At 41.4% G+C, this 18,876-nt stretch overlaps 1 protein-coding gene and 1 long non-coding RNA gene across 9 annotated transcripts in view, besides 2 other annotated features; one reads left to right on the forward strand and one right to left on the reverse strand.

The window, feature by feature from the left end:
- Positions 1-399: 399 nt before the first annotated feature.
- LOC105379028 (uncharacterized) lies at positions 400-18,030 on the reverse strand. 8 transcript variants are annotated; one of them, XR_001742727.3, is made up of 3 exons: positions 13,318-18,030; positions 8,126-8,177; positions 400-5,541 (listed from the first exon to the last, which is right to left on the reverse strand). It is a non-coding gene; the product is annotated as an uncharacterized LOC105379028 (long non-coding RNA). The 8 variants fall into 8 exon arrangements; XR_007058813.1 differs by adding an exon at positions 12,468-12,530 and having other exon boundaries at positions 400-8,177; XR_001742725.3 differs by lacking the exon at positions 13,318-18,030 and adding an exon at positions 12,468-13,137.
- Positions 11,937-12,919: an enhancer, noted in NCBI's record as "H3K27ac hESC enhancer chr5:71403221-71404203 (GRCh37/hg19 assembly coordinates)". NCBI's record gives its function as "activates a minimal SCP1, AML or CMV promoter by ChIP-STARR-seq in naive and primed H9 embryonic stem cells {active_cell/tissue: H9 hESC(naive and primed)}" and the evidence as "EXISTENCE:reporter gene assay evidence [ECO:0000049][PMID:30033119]".
- MAP1B (microtubule associated protein 1B) overlaps positions 12,018-18,876 on the forward strand; it is a 102,091-nt gene continuing 95,232 nt past the window's right edge. The window contains exon 1 of the mRNA NM_005909.5: positions 12,018-12,258. Within this exon, the coding sequence (NP_005900.2) occupies positions 12,075-12,258 (184 nt within the window). The 5' untranslated portion in view covers positions 12,018-12,074. The remainder of the gene's footprint in view (positions 12,259-18,876) is intronic.
- Positions 13,325-13,619: an enhancer, noted in NCBI's record as "tiled region #7919; HepG2 Activating DNase unmatched - State 4:PromP". NCBI's record gives its function as "activates a minimal TATA promoter and a strong SV40 promoter by Sharpr-MPRA in HepG2 cells {active_cell/tissue: HepG2}" and the evidence as "EXISTENCE:reporter gene assay evidence [ECO:0000049][PMID:27701403]".

Genomic DNA, 18,876 nt, shown 5'->3' on the forward strand with positions numbered 1-18,876 from the left:
GACCATGGGATTTGAGAGAAACTGCCCAGTTTCCTAAAGCACAACTTCGATTGTATCACTATTTTAAAACCCAGTGGTTTTCAGATGCTCTTGCCCAGCTCCTACTGATTTAGAGGGTGAACGCTGCATATGCTGACCATGCTGCGAATGAGAAGCACAAAGACTAGAAGTGCCAAGGCAGGGGGCTTCACAGCAGCCCCGATCTTTTGGTCTGTTCCTGCCCAATTCTACCATATTATAGTTCGTAACATGGAGCAGGATTGGGGCACATCTGTACTAAATGTCAGGCTTCATGGAGCTTCCCAGAAAGAATTACACAAAGAAATTACATCTCTTGAAGTGTCTAATCCACCTGTGCTCATTTCCCATGGCTGTTGTAACAAATTACGACAATCTTAGTGGTTTAAAACAACATGAATTTATTATTTTATAGTTCTGGAGGTTGGAAGTCCTACAGTCAAGGTGTCAGCAGGGTTTTGTTCCTGCTGGAGTCTCTAGGGGAGGATCCATTTTCTTGCCTTTTCCAGCTTTTAGAGACCACCCACATTCCTTGGCCCATGGCCCTCTCCTTCCATCTTCACATCTCTCTCTCACCACTGCGTCCATCATCACAGCTCATCTGTGACTCTGACACTCCAGTCTCCCTATTATAAGGACCCTTGTGATTATACTGGGCCCATTCATGTAATTCAGAGTCACCTCCCCAGCTCAAAATCCTTAATCACATCTGCAAAGTCCCTTTTGTCAGCTAGAGTAACATATTCACATATCTCAGGGATTAGAATGTGAACATTGCAGAGGGTGAGGGCGTCATTCCATCTACCACTCCACCCGTCTGCTTTCTTCCTATCAGCCTCAAAAAGTGCCCTCCAGATCCTCCACTCTCCAAGGCACCTGGTGACAGAATACACTCACTGGCTCCTGGAGGCATCCTCCTTCTGAGCTTTCCTAGTGCTCCCAGCTGGATGAAACTACTTGTTTGTCCATACTCCTTTGTGCAACCTGGACTGTTCAGGGCATCCCTTTCTGCTGTTGGACACTTTATTTGTACGCACATACGTTACTTTCCTGATAACCTGAGCCAAGAACCAACTTTGTGCCCTCCTAGGGCCTAGAATGATGTGAGGCAGATTGCTGCTGCTCAATTATTGCTGTTAGTGCTTAGCAGGACACACAAGACCCGTCTCCCTGAGCCTGGTGCCATCCAGATGTTCCTGTCAGAGTCCAAAGACAGTACTCCTCATTGCCACCCCAGAGCACTTCTGCTAGTGAGTGACATCTTCCATTCCTGTGAGCGGGGAGGACTCCACAACTGCTGCCCATTTAGACTACTTCATCCCCAGGGACTGCTGGTAGCCTGGGAAGGGAGCCTGCATTTACGTCTGCAGCTTCCCACCTTCTGCAAGTAAGCTTGTTATTGTTTTGCTGTTTGCTGTGGCAGTGGCTGCTGTTCTGCAGTGCCAGCTGAGAAGCTTTTCTCCAAGCAGCCTTGGTTATTTCCACTATAATTCTTTTCCCCTCAGGATGCCATCCTCTACATGTGTCGGTATGACTCACTTGGTACTTGTACTTGGTAAAAGCCAGAGTTTAATGAAAAGACATCGGTCGAGAACTTTGCAGTCTCATTTGCAGCCACATCCTGGGTAGGACTTGCCTTAACTCAGGTGGAATCTTTCCTCCCCAGCAGTCAAGAGATGCAGAAGTAACAACTACCTAACTGCCAAGTACTAGGCAAAACTTGGGGCTGGGGTTGAAGTGCATTAAAGGGCAGGCATGTGAGAGAATAAAAATATGAAATCAAAGTTTCTGCTCTTACAGATTTCAAAATCAATTGGGAAGAAATGTAAGTTACTAAGTAATTGCAAAATTTTGTAAAATCTTCTAGCAGCAAAATGTAGAGCTGGGGAAAAAATGTGGATCCTTATCTTATAGTCTACATCTGGATAAATCCAAAATATTAAAAGTAAAGTCTTAAAATTACTAGGAAAAAACCCTGAGAGAATTTTTCTTACATAATTTCAGAATGGTAAAGGTCTAAGTATAATATAGGACCCAGAAGCCATATGAATGAAAGAATAGGTAAATTTAATGACAAAAAAAACTTCCCATGGCAAAATGCACAATATGAAAAGTCAAAAAACAAATGCCAATCTGAGAAAAATATTTGTAAATCATATTACAGAAAAAAGTTAATTTCCCAAATGTATAAAGAATATGATATGGTTTGGATTTGTGTCCCACCGGCAATCTCGTGTCGAATTGTAATCCCTAATGTTGGAGGAGGGGTCTGGCAGGAGGTGACTGAATCATGGGGGCAGATTTCCTCCTTGCTATTCTCACGATAGTGAGATCTCACAAGATCTGGTTGCTTAAAAGGGTGTAGCACCTCTTCCTTCTCTCTCTTCCTCCTGCTCTGGCCATGTGTAGATGTGCCTGCTTCCCCTTCACCTTCTGCCATGATTGTTAAGTTTCCTGAGGCCTCCTCAGCCATGCTTCCTGTATAGCCTGTGGAACTGTGAGCCAATTAAACCTCTTTTCTCTATAAATGACACCATCTCAGGCATTTCTTTGTGGCAATGTGATAAAGGAGTAATACAGAATATATACAAATCAATAAGAAAAACACTAACCATCTACTAGAAAAAATGGGCAAAGCATATAAGCTGACAGTGCACAGAAAAGGAAATGCAGATGGCCCTTAAACATATGCCAAGATGTTCAGTCTTATATATAATAAGGGAAATGGAACTAAAATCACACAGAGACATAATTTTTAAATTATGTTAAATGGGCTAAAATTTAAAAGTTTGAAAATACTTACATTTTGAGGCATCAGCAGCCCACCCATCTATTACTGGCAGAAGTATATACTGGTACAACACCTATAGGAGGCAAGTTTTTAAGATCTTCCAAAATTGCAAACATGCATATCCTGGACTCAGCAATTTGCTAGAAATTTATCCTATGGATAGTCTCTAACCTGTGGGAAAAGACATATACAGAACTTTATTTACTACAGCACTGTTTATATTATCAAAAGACTGGAAGTCATCATCAACAGAGGAGTGATAAAAATAGAAGAGTGATAAATTATGATATTCACACAAAATGGAATTCTATGCATTGCTCAAAAAGCAATAGGGATACTCCTTATGATGGTTATGGAAATATTTCAAAGATATGGTAAGTGATAAAAACAAGATGACAGAACAGTTTGTTCAGTGTGCTGCTGTTAGTATACAAAAGAAAGGAGGAGTAAACTGCTAGCTATTTTCAAGAATAAGCTCAATATATTTCTACCAGTTCTTTTTGCTCATGCTGTTCTGTTCATGTAGATTGTCCTTTCTCCATCTCTGCCTGTTGAAAAATATTGTTCTTCCAGGACAATTTCAAATACTTCTTCCTCTATGAACCTTTATTGATCTCCTGAGTTAAGCACTCTCTCAGTTGAACAAATCTAAAATTATTAGGAGAATAGTTTTAAGGTTTGGAATGAGAGATCCTTTCTAAGACAGACAACCCCCATTAACTCATAAAGAAAGAAGCTTAGCCTAACCTTATAAGAAATTTAATAATTTGTATGGTCACAGACATAATAAATAGACATAAATACAAAATCTGATGACACACTGAGAGGAAATATCTGCAACATATATTGATGACGAAAGCTTATTATCCAGATTATATAAAGAGCTTCTAAAAGCCAGTAAAGATAAAAACAATAGTCCAATCAGAAAAAAGACACATCTTGAAGAGTTAAGCCAATAAAGAAAGAAAAGCAGTTTAAAAGGTGCTCAGTTTTAAACAGTAAATATTTCTCTCCCTTTGGTGAGTAAAAAATAAGAAGACTTACATTATGATGTGGGGAAAGAGGCAATGATGTGGAAGGAATATAAATTGTTAAATTCTTTTCAGAGGGTAATTTGGCAGGAGTCATCAAATGTTAAAATTAGGTATCACCTTCAACCCATCTGTTTGGCTTCTAGATCTAGGCATCTGTGCTCAGAGAAACATATATGAGTATAGAAGCACTTACAAGCATGGTCATTGCACACTATTTATAATAGAAAAAAACCAAACACCACCTAAAGGACCACCAAGAGGGGAAAGAGTAAAGGAAATATGGTAGATTCATTCTATGAGCTACTGTGCAGCAGTTTTTAAAAATAGATTTTTACATATTTGAAAAGAGCTTCAAAGGGAAAATGCCATTTGAAGAACAGTATATAAAATATTGTTCTATTTATATGGGGAAGATACATGTATACAGTCAGCCCTCCATATCCACCAGTTCTGCATCTGTGGATTCAACAAACCATGGATTGTAATTATTCAGAAAAAAATATATAAAAAAAGAATGGTTGAATCTGTTCTGACCATGTGCAGACTTTTTTCTTGTCATTATTTCCTAAACAATACAGTATAACAACTATTTACATAGCATTTACACTGTTTTAGATATTATAAGTAATCAAGATTATTTAAAGTATACAGGAGGATGTGCGTAGGTTATAAGCATCATTTTATATAAGGAACTTAGGCGTCCCTGAATTTTGGTATTCACAGGGGACAGAGTCCTAGAACCAATCCCCTACATATATGTGTACATTCTACACACACACACACATGCACACAAAATAGTTTAGCCTCTAGGAAGGGGAAGAGAACTAGGGGTAGCAAAGAAAGAACTTTCATTTTCTTCTTTATACATTTATAGGATGTTTTTTGTTTTTCTTGTTGTTGAAGGATAGTGATGTGAAGGACCCAGTTCACACAGTTAGGAAAAGGGACTTGATTTCAGTCAATTGGCCTTCCAGTGTGATATTTTTTTTCCACTGTTCCACCAAAAGAAAATAAGAGGCACTTTCGGAGTCAAGGATGATTGAATAGAAAGAAGTATAAGATATTTTCCTCTGGCTATGAAGTTCACTATGGAATTTTCAGAAACATGCCTCTTCTAACTAACCTAATAGCCACTGTTAAGAGTTAGGCCCATTTAGTTTATGGGCATAGAGAATGGCTGCAGCCATCAATGACATAGCGTATAGATTATCCTTTTAAAATGTTCTCTAATACTTCATACCTTGTAAGTCTTTTCCCTAATTTTCCTTTTGTTTCTTTCCCCAGGCTCTCTGGAATTTTTCTATAGCTAGCTTAAAGTTTGGAAAGAAAGGACTGATAAATGCTGAGTAAACAGACTATTTCTTGACCCTTAAATGACATACTGTCTTAAGTTACACTCTAGAGAATGACTTTAATTCTAACTAACAACACAACACTGGAGGTTCATTCAATGTGAGATTTACTCTGACTGTTTTATTCTTCCCACCAATCAACACTTGGGCTGTGCTTCATTTCCTTTATTTGCTTTAAATTCAATAGCATCAGTGAAGGTACCATATAGGGGAGGTCATAGACTTTGAAATATGACATAGCAGAGTTCTTTTCACAAGTTTTCAACTTACTATCTTTGTGATTTGGAGGAATTGTCTAACTTTTCTCCATGTCAGTTTTTCATCTGTCAAACAGCAATAATAATAACTAATGGCAAAAAAGAAATCACAATGACATTAGAAAATGTTATGAAATGAATGATAATGACAATAAAGACACAACACATCAAAATGTGTACAGGGCAGCTAAAGCAGGAGTTAGAAATATTTAGCCTTAAATGTATTTATCAGAAAAGAAGGAAAACTGACAATTAATTACTTAAGCTTCTCAAGCAGCTACAATAGGAAGTAAGATAAAACCCAAAGAAATTAGGAGCAAAACAGCATGGATAAAAACAGCTTCAATGAAAATATATATACACATACATAAAATAGAAAACTATCAATAATGTCAAATGTAGGTTTTTGTAAAGATTAACAAAATTGATAAACCCCTAGCTGGACTGATCAAGAAAAAAACAAAGAAAATACAAATTATCGAGATCAGAAATGAGAAAGAGACATCAATACAGACTTTAAGCCATCAAAAATATAAATAATACCAGTGGGAATTCACTGAAGTACTTTAAGCACCTAGCACACTACCATGGCTCATAGAAGCCATTCATTTAGTCATTGAATATGCTTTGACTGAGCATATGCCCTATGCTGAGCAAGAGGAATGCTAAGGTATATGGGTGGCTGGGTGGGTGTGAAAAGGGTGTGTGGGGGTGGGGATAGACATGTTCTTTGCTCCTGTGGAGCATAGAGTTCAACTAGTCTTTTCTTTATAAATTACCCAGTCTGTGGTAATCTGTTACAGCAACAGAAAATGGACAAAAGTAGTGCTCTCATCAGGAGGAAAAGCAAGGGAAAGCCTGTGTTGGAGGGAAGGATGGTTTGGCACAAAGTCATTGTGGCTGATGCTGGAAAGTAAGGGCAAGTGGAGGGGCCAGATGAAGCTGCTGAGATAAATGGGGACCAGCTTGTAGGTGACACTGAGAAGTCTGGTCTTTATTCTAAAATGGGGAGCCATTTGTGTTTTAAGTGGAGATGGGGCAACAAAACCAGATCAGAAAAGATCATTCTCCATATTGTGTGAAGCATGGATTGGGTGAGTCATTGTGGATATACAGATGCCAGTAAGGTGACTATTGAGGTTGCATGGGAAAAAAAAATAGCTAGACCTACTGTTTACAATATAAATTAAACTGGAAATAGCTCAAATGTTCACCAACAATGGACTGGTTGAGTAAATTATAGTAAATAAACATAATGGGTTACTATGCAGCTATAAATAAAAATGAGGAATATTAACATATATTATTGTAGCGTTATAGCCGGGATATAGTGTTTGATGAAATAAGCAAAGTGGAGAAAATTGTATGTATATGCTGCTACTTGCATTTTTAAAGTGAAAGGCTAAATCAAGGTAAAAAATTGTTACTCACAGGAAGAGACAGGGAGAAAGCTGGAGGGGACAGGGATAGAGGCTAAAGTTCTCCAAATACAAATTGTTTTGTAGATTTCACCTTGGAACCATGTAAATATTTTACATTACTATAAAGCAAAATTAAATTGTAAAAATCAATTCATAAAAACTGAAAACAAAATGAAACAAATGAACATAACTATGCACTGAGTTAGTGGCACGATCATATATAACAGAATTAATTACACTTTAAAACTATATAGCTTAGGCTGGGCACGGTGGCTCACACCTATAATCCCAGCACTTTGGTAGGCTGAGGCGGGCAGATCATCTGAGGTCAGGAGTTTGAGACCAGCCTGGCCAACATGGCGAAACCCCATCTCTACTAAAGGTACAAAAATTAGCCAGGCATGGTGGTGGGTGCCTGTAATCCCAGCTACTGAGAAGGCTGAGGCAGGAGAATCGCTTGAACCTGGGAGGCAGAGGTTGCAGTGAGCCGAGATGGCGCCACTGCACTCCAGCCTGGGCAACAAGAGTGAGAATCGGTCTCAAAAAAAAAAAAAAAAAAAAAACAAAAACAAAAAAAACAACCAACCAACCAAACAAACAAACAAACAAAAAAACTATATACCTTAAAATGTTTTTAGTAATCACATTGTTGGCAAAAGTGTTGCATTCGTATCTAAAACTACCATGAGGGTAATTTGTATATATTGTGGAACAAGAAAAATGAGAAACTATCTGCTGTTCTAATTCTGTCACCTTGGAGTCTTTGAAAACTGGAATTCTAGGCATAGGACAAAGGAAATACAGATGCAAGATAAAACGTTAGGCAAAATCCCTGTAGTCCCGATTCTGAGTTAGAGGTATAAGTATGAACTCATACTTGAAAAACAATTTATTTCATATTTCTGTCCACTGAAAATATCTAGAAACAATGATCAAAATAGTAGTAGCACCTGGTATACAGGGGTCTCCAAATACCATTACCCACGTAAGGAACTTGGATTCCATAGAGAAACGGCTCATTCCAGGTTCTGAGGCCAGATATGTGCAAGGTAAGCTAGGGATACCTTACCATACTACTGGCCAAAGATGAAAAAATGAAAGCATCAATATGAATAATGTAAGTTATATTTGTAATGATACAAAAAATTAGTCACCTTTAGAGAATGATTTGGAATAAATTAATTATTTTGAAAATCAGTAAATAAAGAGAAAAAATCATTTGTTTATCCTTCTTTTCCTGTACATACCGTACCTCAGGGTAATCAACTGACAGGATAACGCTTCTCCTAACAGAAGTCTTCTAGCTGTCAAATAAATAATAACAAAATTAGAATATTATCATTTTTTCAATCCATAGTGAAATAATGGATCTAGGTAATGATCATCAATAGCTGCTAAAATCACAGAATGAGGGTTAACTAGTCTTTAGGTGCCTTCTGATGGAAGATCACAATATTACCTATGAAGTATACATGTAAAAAATATCAAATCTGCATCTGATCAAGACTTTAGTTCTCTCAGAAAATTCAGAAGATAGAAGAACATGTTAAATAACACAACAGGTGATGCAATCGGCAAAATTTATGCTTTGTGAAACTCTGCTGAACAATGTTGCCACTATTCAACAGAAAATTACAAGGAAAAAAATAGCAGGATTACATAGATCAAAGGAGTTTAAGACTGATGAATCAGTTGAAATATATAGACATTATTTCAATCTTGATTTAAAGAAGCAAACTATAAAAATCTATGGATTGGGGATAATGGGTATGTGGGTGTTACTTACATTATACTCTCTCTGTTTGAAATTTTCCATAGTAAAATGTTAAACAATAACAGCCAAAAACAACTAACCCCATACCAAAAACAACTAATCCCTATTAAGTGCTCATTATATGCAAGGCACTGTTTTAAGTAATTTGCATATTTAAACTGTCCTCCTGTCCATGAGGTCGGTACTCATCTCTACTATACAAATGAGAAAACCAAGGTATAGAGTGGTTAAGCACCTTGCTTAAGGCCACACAGCTAATAAATTATGGTATTAGGATTCAAAACCAGGCAGTCTGACTCCAGAACCCATTTTCTAACCGGTACACTAGTACCTATCACAATGATGCTAGCTTGGACTAGGTTGGTGATAATGGAGAAACGTGGATGGATTGAAGAGATACTGAAGGTGAAATTGACCAGACTCCATGCTGGATTGCACACGAGGCTAAGGGTCAGGGGAGAGTCCAAAATATTTGTGAGGTTTTGGTTTGCATCATGGGATACATGGTGTTATGGTTCATTGAAATAACAAGAATGAGAGAGGATCCCGTTTAGAGGTAAAAGATGATTTGGGTTTGGAGCATGTCAAGATTCTGGTGCCTTTGGTATATCCAGGTGATGTCAGTTGAGCAGCTGGCAATATTGGTGCTCTTATATGTTAGTTTTCCCCCTTTTTCCTCCTTAGAACTGTATACATTTTCTTGGGATGAAGAGGGGAAGGGGCTACTTTTCTAGTATTGAAGTATAATAATGTAATATTCTGTTCTTGTTTCAGAGGTGTTGTAGCAGTATCACTTGCACATTTTATAAGACTGCTTTTGCTCCATTGTCTTAGTAACTGGGAGAAAACAGGTCAATGAATCAACCATCCCTTGATTGCTTACTATGCCCAGCCACTGTATTAGGTGCTTACACATTCTATCATTTCCTTCTTTCTTACAGTTACTTTAACAGTTATAAAGATGTTCTTCTTCTCATTAAATAAGGAGATGGAAGATCAAAAAGAGTAAGTCACTTGCCAAAGTTACCGAGCTGTAAAGTAGTATTCTGCATCCCTAGTCTGTGTTCTCCCATTATGCCTCTATTTTTCAAAGTGTGGGTGATGACTTAGGTGGTCACGGTCATGGTGTTTAATTGCACAGACACACACAGTAAGAAAGCGCTCTGTTATAATTTTCATCCAATCTTCTGTTGCAACATGGAGAACAACTCAGTTAGGTGTTAGTATCTCTTTAATACCTCTCTAACACTTGGCCAATCTCTGTTTTCAACCAAGAAAGGAGAGCCTTGGACTCAGAGTCTTGAGCAAATCATAACAGTATGTAGCAGGAATTTGATCACATCTTATCTTCATTGTGTATATTTTTAGGGATACTTTCTATTAATAAGTGATATTAGTGTTTCCATTTATACAGCAACATAGAATTGCATTTAAAAATAAATTTAAGTAAAAGAAATAAACTGCATAAAAGAAAACTATTACATACATAAAAGTAACAATGGTTCAAAGAAAGGAAAACCAAACACAAACTAGATGAGGCTGGAATCCAACGGATGACCTTTAGAAAACAGTGCTCTTCACCATATTTCCTGCCCCTCACCCCAGTTATGGGCTTTGGTGCTGGCCTTACTTCTTGAACAGCAATTGAATATCTTAACCAAAATATTATCTGGAAACACTTCATCTAGTTACTGGTGAATGCAGCTAGTTGGAAACACTTCATCTAATTACTGGTGAATGCAACTCTCTAGTGATCCTGTCACAGATCCCAAATACTGCGGGCCAGACGGTATTTTCATTCTGCATTGATCAGATTGACATGTTGGATGGAACCCCCCAGCCCTTGGCTGCCCAGCATGTCTCCCATGCCAGGGTGTCAGGAAAGATATAAGAGCAAAGAGTACATGACCAATAAGTCATGGCAGCTAACACCTAAGACACTGGGTTATTTTGGAAATCTTAAGAATATCTAGGTGATTATCTATCTATCTATCTATCTATCTATCTATCTATCTATCTATCATCTATATTTTACTAACAGGCATTCTAGTATTAAAGCTATGTTGACTAATTTCCATCTATTCCTCTTCCTTAAAGCTCGAATTCCCCAGTCTTCTATGATACCATGTTTGCACATTTTGCTCTTTCCTCACCCTCCTCCCCTTTTCTGGGACAGAAGCTATATTCAGTATGTTTGTGAGAAACGGTTGTAAATAGGCTGCCTTAAAAAAAAAAACAAAAAAACAAAAACAAAAAACACATTTTTTAGTTCTTCTAAACACAAACAAAGGCAATAAAAATTCCCAATGCTACAGGTATTTTAAAAGACATCATTGTCACGAGGTAATTTTGCTTGTGTGTTCCCCAAGGAACTGAAAAGTACATTATAGTCACTGTAACCCTGCTGAGTAGAGACAGTATCTTCTCTTTATTCTTTGTTATTACTGATACTATCTGTTCAGCACATTAAGGAAAGAAATTGGTATCTAATATAATACATCTGCATTTCTCTCATTTCCCATGAGCACCACAAAGCCAGTACTTTTTCATCCTTGGCCCTGCCAGAGTAGAATCCAAGGCCTGAACAATAGTAGGCTTAAGTTTTGCATTTTTGATGTATTCTTTAAGTGAAGGTGGTAAATATTGATATTGGTAAATATCAGTAAATTCGTCTTCTTAAAGCCACAAGGTCAAAGAAAAGACAGGTTCCGTCTTCCTAGGCGGGGTACCCACAGCCCCGCATCTGCCCACTGTGGCTATCCCAGTTCCTGAGAACCTGGCTACATCATACACAGCACACAAGGCAGAGGCCTGACTAGTGCAACTCCAACAAGAGAAAAGACCCCCACTCCGAAAATGGAAACTCATCCCATTCCCATGCACAGACAGGGTGAGGGTGAGGAGTGGGCAGTGGGTGTGTACGTGGTGGGTGGTGTAGGTTGAGAGCGTCTTCCCCCTTCACGGCTGCAGCAGGAGCTCAGCGGGCGCCCCAGCCCCTTGGCTCGCGGCCCTGCCCCGACCATTGTCCGCACACCTCGTCCCTCCAGCTTCCGGGCCGCGGGCGAGATGATTTGCTGCAGATGACATCAGCCCCGGGCCAACGGCTGGAAGAGCGGAGGCAGCCACCGCGTGAGGATGTGCCGGGTGGTCCTTTCCTCCTCCTCTTCCTCCTCCTCCCGGCTCCCTGCCTAGTCTCCATATAAAAGCGGCGCCGCCTCCCCGCCCTCTCTCACTCCCCGCTCCTCTCCGCCGCGCACTCTCCGCGGCGCTGGGAGAGGGCGGAGGGGGAGGCGGCGCGCGGCGCCAGAGGAGGGGGGACGCAGGGGGCGGAGCGGAGACAGTACCTTCGGAGATAATCCTTTCTCCTGCCGCAGTGGAGAGGAGCGGCCGGAGCGAGACACTTCGCCGAGGCACAGCAGCCGGCAGGATGGCGACCGTGGTGGTGGAAGCCACCGAGCCGGAGCCGTCCGGCAGCATCGCCAACCCGGCGGCGTCCACCTCGCCTAGCCTGTCGCACCGCTTCCTTGACAGCAAGTTCTACTTGCTGGTGGTCGTCGGCGAGATCGTGACCGAGGAGCACCTGCGGCGTGCCATCGGCAACATCGAGCTCGGTAAGTGGCCCCGCGCCCCCAGAGACGCGCGCTGGGAGACGCGCAAACACGACCCCACCCAGGGCGCGACGGTCACTGCGCTCCTCCCGCGCGCCCCGCACCCATGCCTCTCCTCGTCACCTCTCATACTTGGTCCAGACCCTTTCTGGGCTAATTAAGAATAATCCGAATTATTAGATATGAGACCCAGAGGGAGAGTCTCCAATAACCTTGAGGGATCTGTCACCACGCTGAGTCCGCAGCCTGTGCTGAGTTGGCCACCGCCTCTCCCGCTAAGTGAAATGCAGGTGTCAGGGGAGCAGAGGCCACAATAAAGCCGCAACCGCAGGAGGCAGAAGGGTGGGGGAGACCTGATGCAACCACTCCTTTCAGTCCTCTTCTGGCCTCAGGAAAAGGCTGGGACCCCCACCACCGCAGACCTGGGGCCGAAGCCCATGTGCCAGGGCCCGCGTGGGATTCATCCTCACCACGGCTACCTCAGCCCCTGAGAAACGCCTTTTCTGATTTCAAACCTCCCGATCCTTTCTTTCCTCAGAATGACTAGGCTAGTCCTAGGGCCACGCCCGCTCCCCCCGCCCCCCCCTCCCCGGGGAGATGCTGGGATGCAGAACCGCCTGCGCTTCGCCACCAGACAGAGCCCGCCTCGCTACCGCCCTTGGGGCCTTGGCTGCAGCTCTCAGAAAGGACAATGGGACCCCAAGTTGCGGGGTGGGGCTGCTGCTTTTAGAAGTCCCAGCCTCGGGAGTGGTAGCTTGAAGGGGGTCGGTGAGGGAGACGTCAGCGGGTAGGGTCAGCTCCTCGCCCGGTGCTCGCACCAGTGGCGCGCTCTGCGGAGGCCGAATAGCGGTACGCCGGGGACCCTGGGCGGGGCCGTGAGGGTCCGGCGGGCACAGCCTCGGGCGCACAGAGAGACCGCCCCCAGCCCCACCCGAGCTGCCGCAGTGCCTCCGGACCGCCCGCCACACCTGCCCCCCCACACTGCGGCGCCCCCGTCGGGCACGGCTGGCTGGGCTTGCGCTCCGCCCGGGCCTCGGGCTGGCGGGGGCCGCGCGCCCCCACCTCTCAGTTTGCCTGGCTTTGTTGCCCTGGGAGTCCCTGGGTGGGCAGCTCTGGTCTCTGCCTTTCCCTTTATCCCTGGCGTCCCGGCCCTCCCCTCGCTCCTGACAGAGGTCGCCGGGTCCCTCCGCAGCCCCAGCCCGCGCTCTATTCTCCTGGGGTGGTGCTGAAGCGTTTCTCCGGGAGACACCGGTTGGTGGGCGTGGTGCAGTCCGCACTGCGGTCTCTACGGCAGCCCGAGGCGGACAAAGGGCGTTCACGCAGCCCTCGTTCCCCACTCCCCCTCCCCAATAAAAGACGAAAGAAAAACCTTGTTTTAGATGAAAAAATAAATGCTTGTCATCTGCCTCTGCAGTTGGAAACGGCCACTTGTCCCCAGAACAAAAGGCTGCAGGGTGGGGACTGGAGTTGCAGACCTGGTTCTTTTGTTTAACTTTAAAGCACTTGATTTTCCCTTTTAGCTTAAAAAAAAAAAAGAAAAAAAATGTGAGCAGAAAGTCATAGTATTTTATTCCAAAAAATTCAAGAACAAGAGATATTTCAGTAGTGAAATGTCTTATTTGAGCATCTCAATAACCCTTCATTTTCAGACTATATAGGCCTTTGGTCTAATCTGTTCTAATTTAGTTTATTTGCACAATTTTCTCCTGGAAAAATTTTACACATACTGACTTTGGGTGTGGCTATTGTGGGAATCAATGACTTTGGATTTTTTTCTTTAAAAAATTATTTGTAAGTAGCATTTCTGGGAAATAGGAATATATTAGGAGGTGCTTTTCTATCTACAAAATCTTCATAACCATTCGATGTGGTGGTGCTAGGAGAGGGATCATCAACCCCGTTTTAGAGCTGGGGGCCCAGAGAGGCAGGAAGGGTAAGAGAACCGGCTCAAGGTCACAGCACTCATAAGTGACAGAAGTACCAGTACTGCAGCGTCACTCGTTTTCTGACCCTGTCATGATGTTAGTGCAGGGTTGGCTAACATCCTATGATGGGAGGAAGGTTTCAGTACAACAGTTTTCAGGGCTTGCCTTTGTATGGCCATCCACTTGTGGGCAGCGCCCCATGCTGGGAGATGGTTCAGCAATCACCTTCGGATCGTAATTATCTTCCTGCTTTGTTACTCATCTGATCATCCTTTCAGCGCCCTATTCCTCAGAGGGTTTATACAAGCTGCATCTATTTATGGAGAAAACAGACGCATCCACGTACTGCTATGAAGAAGGGCTCCCTGCCTTTACTCGTTTTTACACTACTAGCACTTAGTGACAAAATTCAGATTTGTCTTCTTGACATTAATTTTTTAAAAAATTCGGTTGAAGTATTATATAGAGAGGAAAGGGCACAAATCAAAGATGAGCAGCTCAACGAATTTTCACAAAACGGACACGCCTGGGTTACCCAGATCAAGAAACAGACATTACTGGAACCCCAGAAGCCCCCTTGTGTTCCCTTTGCAATAGACATCATGGCTTCCTGATTTTTTAATTCCCTAATTTGGTCAGGTTTTTGCATGGAACTCCGAAATGACTGTATTGATCCCATTAAGAATCAACCAAGTGAGTGAGCAGAGCCGTTTCTTTACACACCGTAGCAGATGCTGCTTTTCCTCTGAAGATGGCTCTCCTGGGTTCTGGGGTCTTGGCTGCAGCTCAAGATGCAGGCCCTTCCAGCGCTAAGTGAAAATCCTGCTCCCATAGCTTTTCAGACAGTCTGAGATGACTTAGCAACAGAGCAGGCTGGTCCTGTTTTCCTGTGCACGACAAGCTGCTGCTTCAGCCGCCAGGTCTCAGCTGGGCCTCCTCCAGAGGCCACTGCTGTTGTTGCTTGGTGCCTTTGGGCCTTGTTGTGTGAAGCAAGATGGAGCTGCTCCAGGGGGGCCAGCTCTGATGATTGTGTGTTGCAGGCTGGGAAGGCAGTTCCGCATCTGTTACTCTTTCTTCCTATTTCCCCTCCTGCCTTAACTGAGATTCTGGGTTTGGAGACCCTGGCGACTTGGATTCTTGCCATCCGATTACTGAGGGCTCTCTGGGAAGCCTAGAAAATAATCTATAAATCTGTAGAGACATGGTGGTAATGCAGTAAATCAACAGGCCTGGAACGTCCCAATGTGGATGCTTCGTAAATGCCTCTTGAAACCAGGGAAGAGAGATGGTCCCTCTTGCTTTCTCAACTATATTCGGAAAGCATAATGAAAGCTTTGGACATGTCTCCTCCAGAGTTTGGAACAATAGTGTTTCCTCGGACTAGGCTAGCTTCATTTATTTAGTTATGCAGGACTTTATTCCAAATCGTTTTCGCTACCACCAACTACTACTCTTTGGCACCTCCTTTTTCTCCTCCCTAATTAGCCCCCAGCATGGATTTAGCTAGTGGTTCTCATTTTCAGCAAAACCCTGCTTCTTGGTTTTATTTTAATACATAGAGGACATACATCCGTGTCTTGCAAACTGAATTCTAGAGCCTTGTGAACGTTTTCATTGTTTCATTTTTTTTTTAAGGAACTAAAACATATAAAGAATATTAAGTGTCTGTTGGATGTTTTCAATTACCGTTAGATTATAACTTTTCCTTTAGTTAACACTGGGAATCAGCAAGATTTGTTGGTGAAAAGATAGATGAATGTAACATCTACTGCTCTGCATTTTTAGATAAAAGTTTAGCTGATTACATTGTTACATTCTGATGTCACTTAACTGAATGTCCTTCAGTCTAAGATGGTAAGAGAATTTAAAACCCAGGAAAGATTTGGGGTTTAGTTTTCCTTTTCTTTTAACAGGGGAAATAAGAAACCAATACCATATGTGGTGAGAATTAAATGTTAGAGAGTCTTAAATTTACTATATTTGCCTATACTTTTCAAAGTCGAAGACAGATGGATTTCTGCTTGCACTGCTTAATTGGTATTATCTACGACAGCTCTGTGATCCATGCTGAAACACAAGGCAGTCCCCAAATTTAAGGTCATTAAATTGTTCACCTTCTCTAAGGGCTTACTTTAAAAAAATAAGTTATAACTTTTTAGACAAGCAAATAATTATGTCACTTCTCATTTGCTTGTGTTGTAAGATGTTATCTCAGACCTAAATTATTTATTATCAATGCTTTGAAACTATGAGCTCTGTATGTAAGATATTATCGTCATTACATACATATGTTATGAACATCAAGTTGCTGGCTTTAAAAAAAGAAAAAAAGCAAATTAAAGATGAGTTCAAGGGAAAAAATAAGAATTTTTTCCTCTGAGAAATAAAGCATTCCTAAATGTAGCATTTCCTTTAGTTCATTTATTTAGTTTATGATTTCAATCTGATTTCAGACCACTTTTTAGCATAGTTTTACAAATATAATCTTATGATTCTAGGTTAATGATTTAGGTACTTGGAAAAAATATCCAAAAGCCTGTTTTTCAGAGGGAGCAACTAAAGCCCATAAAGGAAAATCAACTTGCCAAAGGCCCAAATAACTGTCAGATAGAACCCATGTGCCATCAACATACAATGCATGGTCATTTCATTTTGCTTTCTTCAATCCACTGTCACCTTTAGAAATATGAATTTTAGCTTTTAAATGGGAGGTGCTTTTTTAAATTGTTGGTTTCATTAAACAACCCTGCAAAATGCTTACATGATTGGAAAACTTGGAACAATCTAGCCTGTACACACCAAGAGTACCTGACTTCTCCTCATTTTTCACCCTGACTTGTTCTTTAATGACCCCTCCCTGCCTCCCTGCCCCATAACCTATTCTTTTCTCCTTTTCTCATCTGTGTATATCATGTGCATGTCAGCCTCCCTTGTGTGCACTGCTACCACCTGGGGTCAGAGAACTGAGAAGGAAAGATCTTTTGTTGCTCCCTGGTCCCAAGGAGCTCACTTTCAGGGCTGGGCAATAGCCACAGAGCAGGCCCAGATTGTTCTCAGAGATGACGGATGCCTTTTGGCTCCAGACATTGAAAGAATGGGGTTCACTGCCTCCAACTGCCTGGAGTTATTCTGCCCCCACCTGGGTAAGCCCAGAAGGGGTACAGTCTTAGAATGCTGGGGAAACAAAGCCTCCAGGAAGAGCTTGACTTGGTGTATATTGGGGTGAAAATTAGAAAGAGGGCTTCCCTGCTCCCCAACAGAGACCAGGATGACTTGCTTCTGAAAGCCTCTTTAGAACCTCTTCACCAACACCCCAGGATGCCCTCCAGCCAGATTCAGAGAGGGGAGAATATGGGAAGGGCCAAAGAGATATTTTTCTGTCCTGTAAACTTTAGAGGGCTCACTGTTGGCTCCTTGTTAGGCACAAAGGGGAACTACATAAACCTACTAAATGCAATATGAACCTTCATTAACAACTACTCTTTGCCTTTACCAATATTATCCAGCAGGAGATACAAAGTAATTACAAATTATTTTATTTCTAAAATTGGTATGGAAAGTGGCCTGATTCCAAAATTTTCCTTTCCAACTAAAATAGCTGGCAAATCCAACATAACCTTTATTTTATAAGTGGTAGTAGTGGTTGTGCATTGCTAAGAAACAATTTGGGTGGAAATTGCTCTCTTGAAAAAAGAACCCTACATTTTTAGTTTCATTGGGAGTGTAAAAATGAGAAATATTTTTATCAGCCGTTTACTAGTATAATTTAGAAATTACTAAGTGGATTTATCATTTAGTACTTTTTCTATTGCTAAATTACAAATATGTCAAAAATAAAATATGTATGAAAATATAAAGCAAACATTTAATTGTGTGTGCCATGACAAGTTAACTGAAGCCAAGGGAAAATGGCAAGTAACAATGTAAGAGCAAGTCTGCAGATAACCCTGGATGAAGTCATTCAAATAATGTACCAATTTAGACATTACTTAGAACAAAGACAGAAAAATTGTATGAATTTAATTTAAATGCATATGTCTCATTATTAACTTATTGACCCAGCTTGACAGGGTAGAAGACAAAGTAGAGCTCAGACCTGGAACAAGGAGAATTCAGTCAACAATACCAATTAAGCAGCTCAGACAGGAACTCGATTTTTTTGCACTAGACTAGTATATAGTGTATACATTGAAGTAAAATATTCTAATGAATTCAGACCTCTCAACCTGTCAAGCTCTCTGTGAAACAAAAAGAACCCATTTATCATTTCTGCACTAAAAAGATCTGCGAAATCTCAACATGCCTTTCTTGTTAAAATTCAAATACTCCATTAGCACAAATGCAAACTGAGGCTATTAATGTTTCCAGGAAGAGCCATAAAATTCTCCCTTATAATTTGACCTTTCCTTAAGCACGTTAACTCTTCCACATCTGAATTCTTCCCATTGATCATATGAGAAATTTCTGCCTGTATTTAGTGGACACACATCTATTTGAAAATATTCCTCCTGGTTGAAAAGGTCTGTGGTGTGTAATCTAAAGATATTTTAGATGTGCAGTGAACTGAGTTTCCAGAATCTTTTTTTTTTGTAATGTCTATGTATAATCCACCTTGATTCTTTACAGGATAGGAAGACTGAATACAATATAACCAAGGGTAAATACAAATATGCCTTAAGGATCCAGTGTGTATTTA

Source organism: Homo sapiens, chromosome 5 (genome assembly GCF_000001405.40).
Source record: "Homo sapiens chromosome 5, GRCh38.p14 Primary Assembly".
In the NCBI taxonomy this organism is placed as follows: Eukaryota; Metazoa; Chordata; class Mammalia; order Primates; family Hominidae; genus Homo; species Homo sapiens.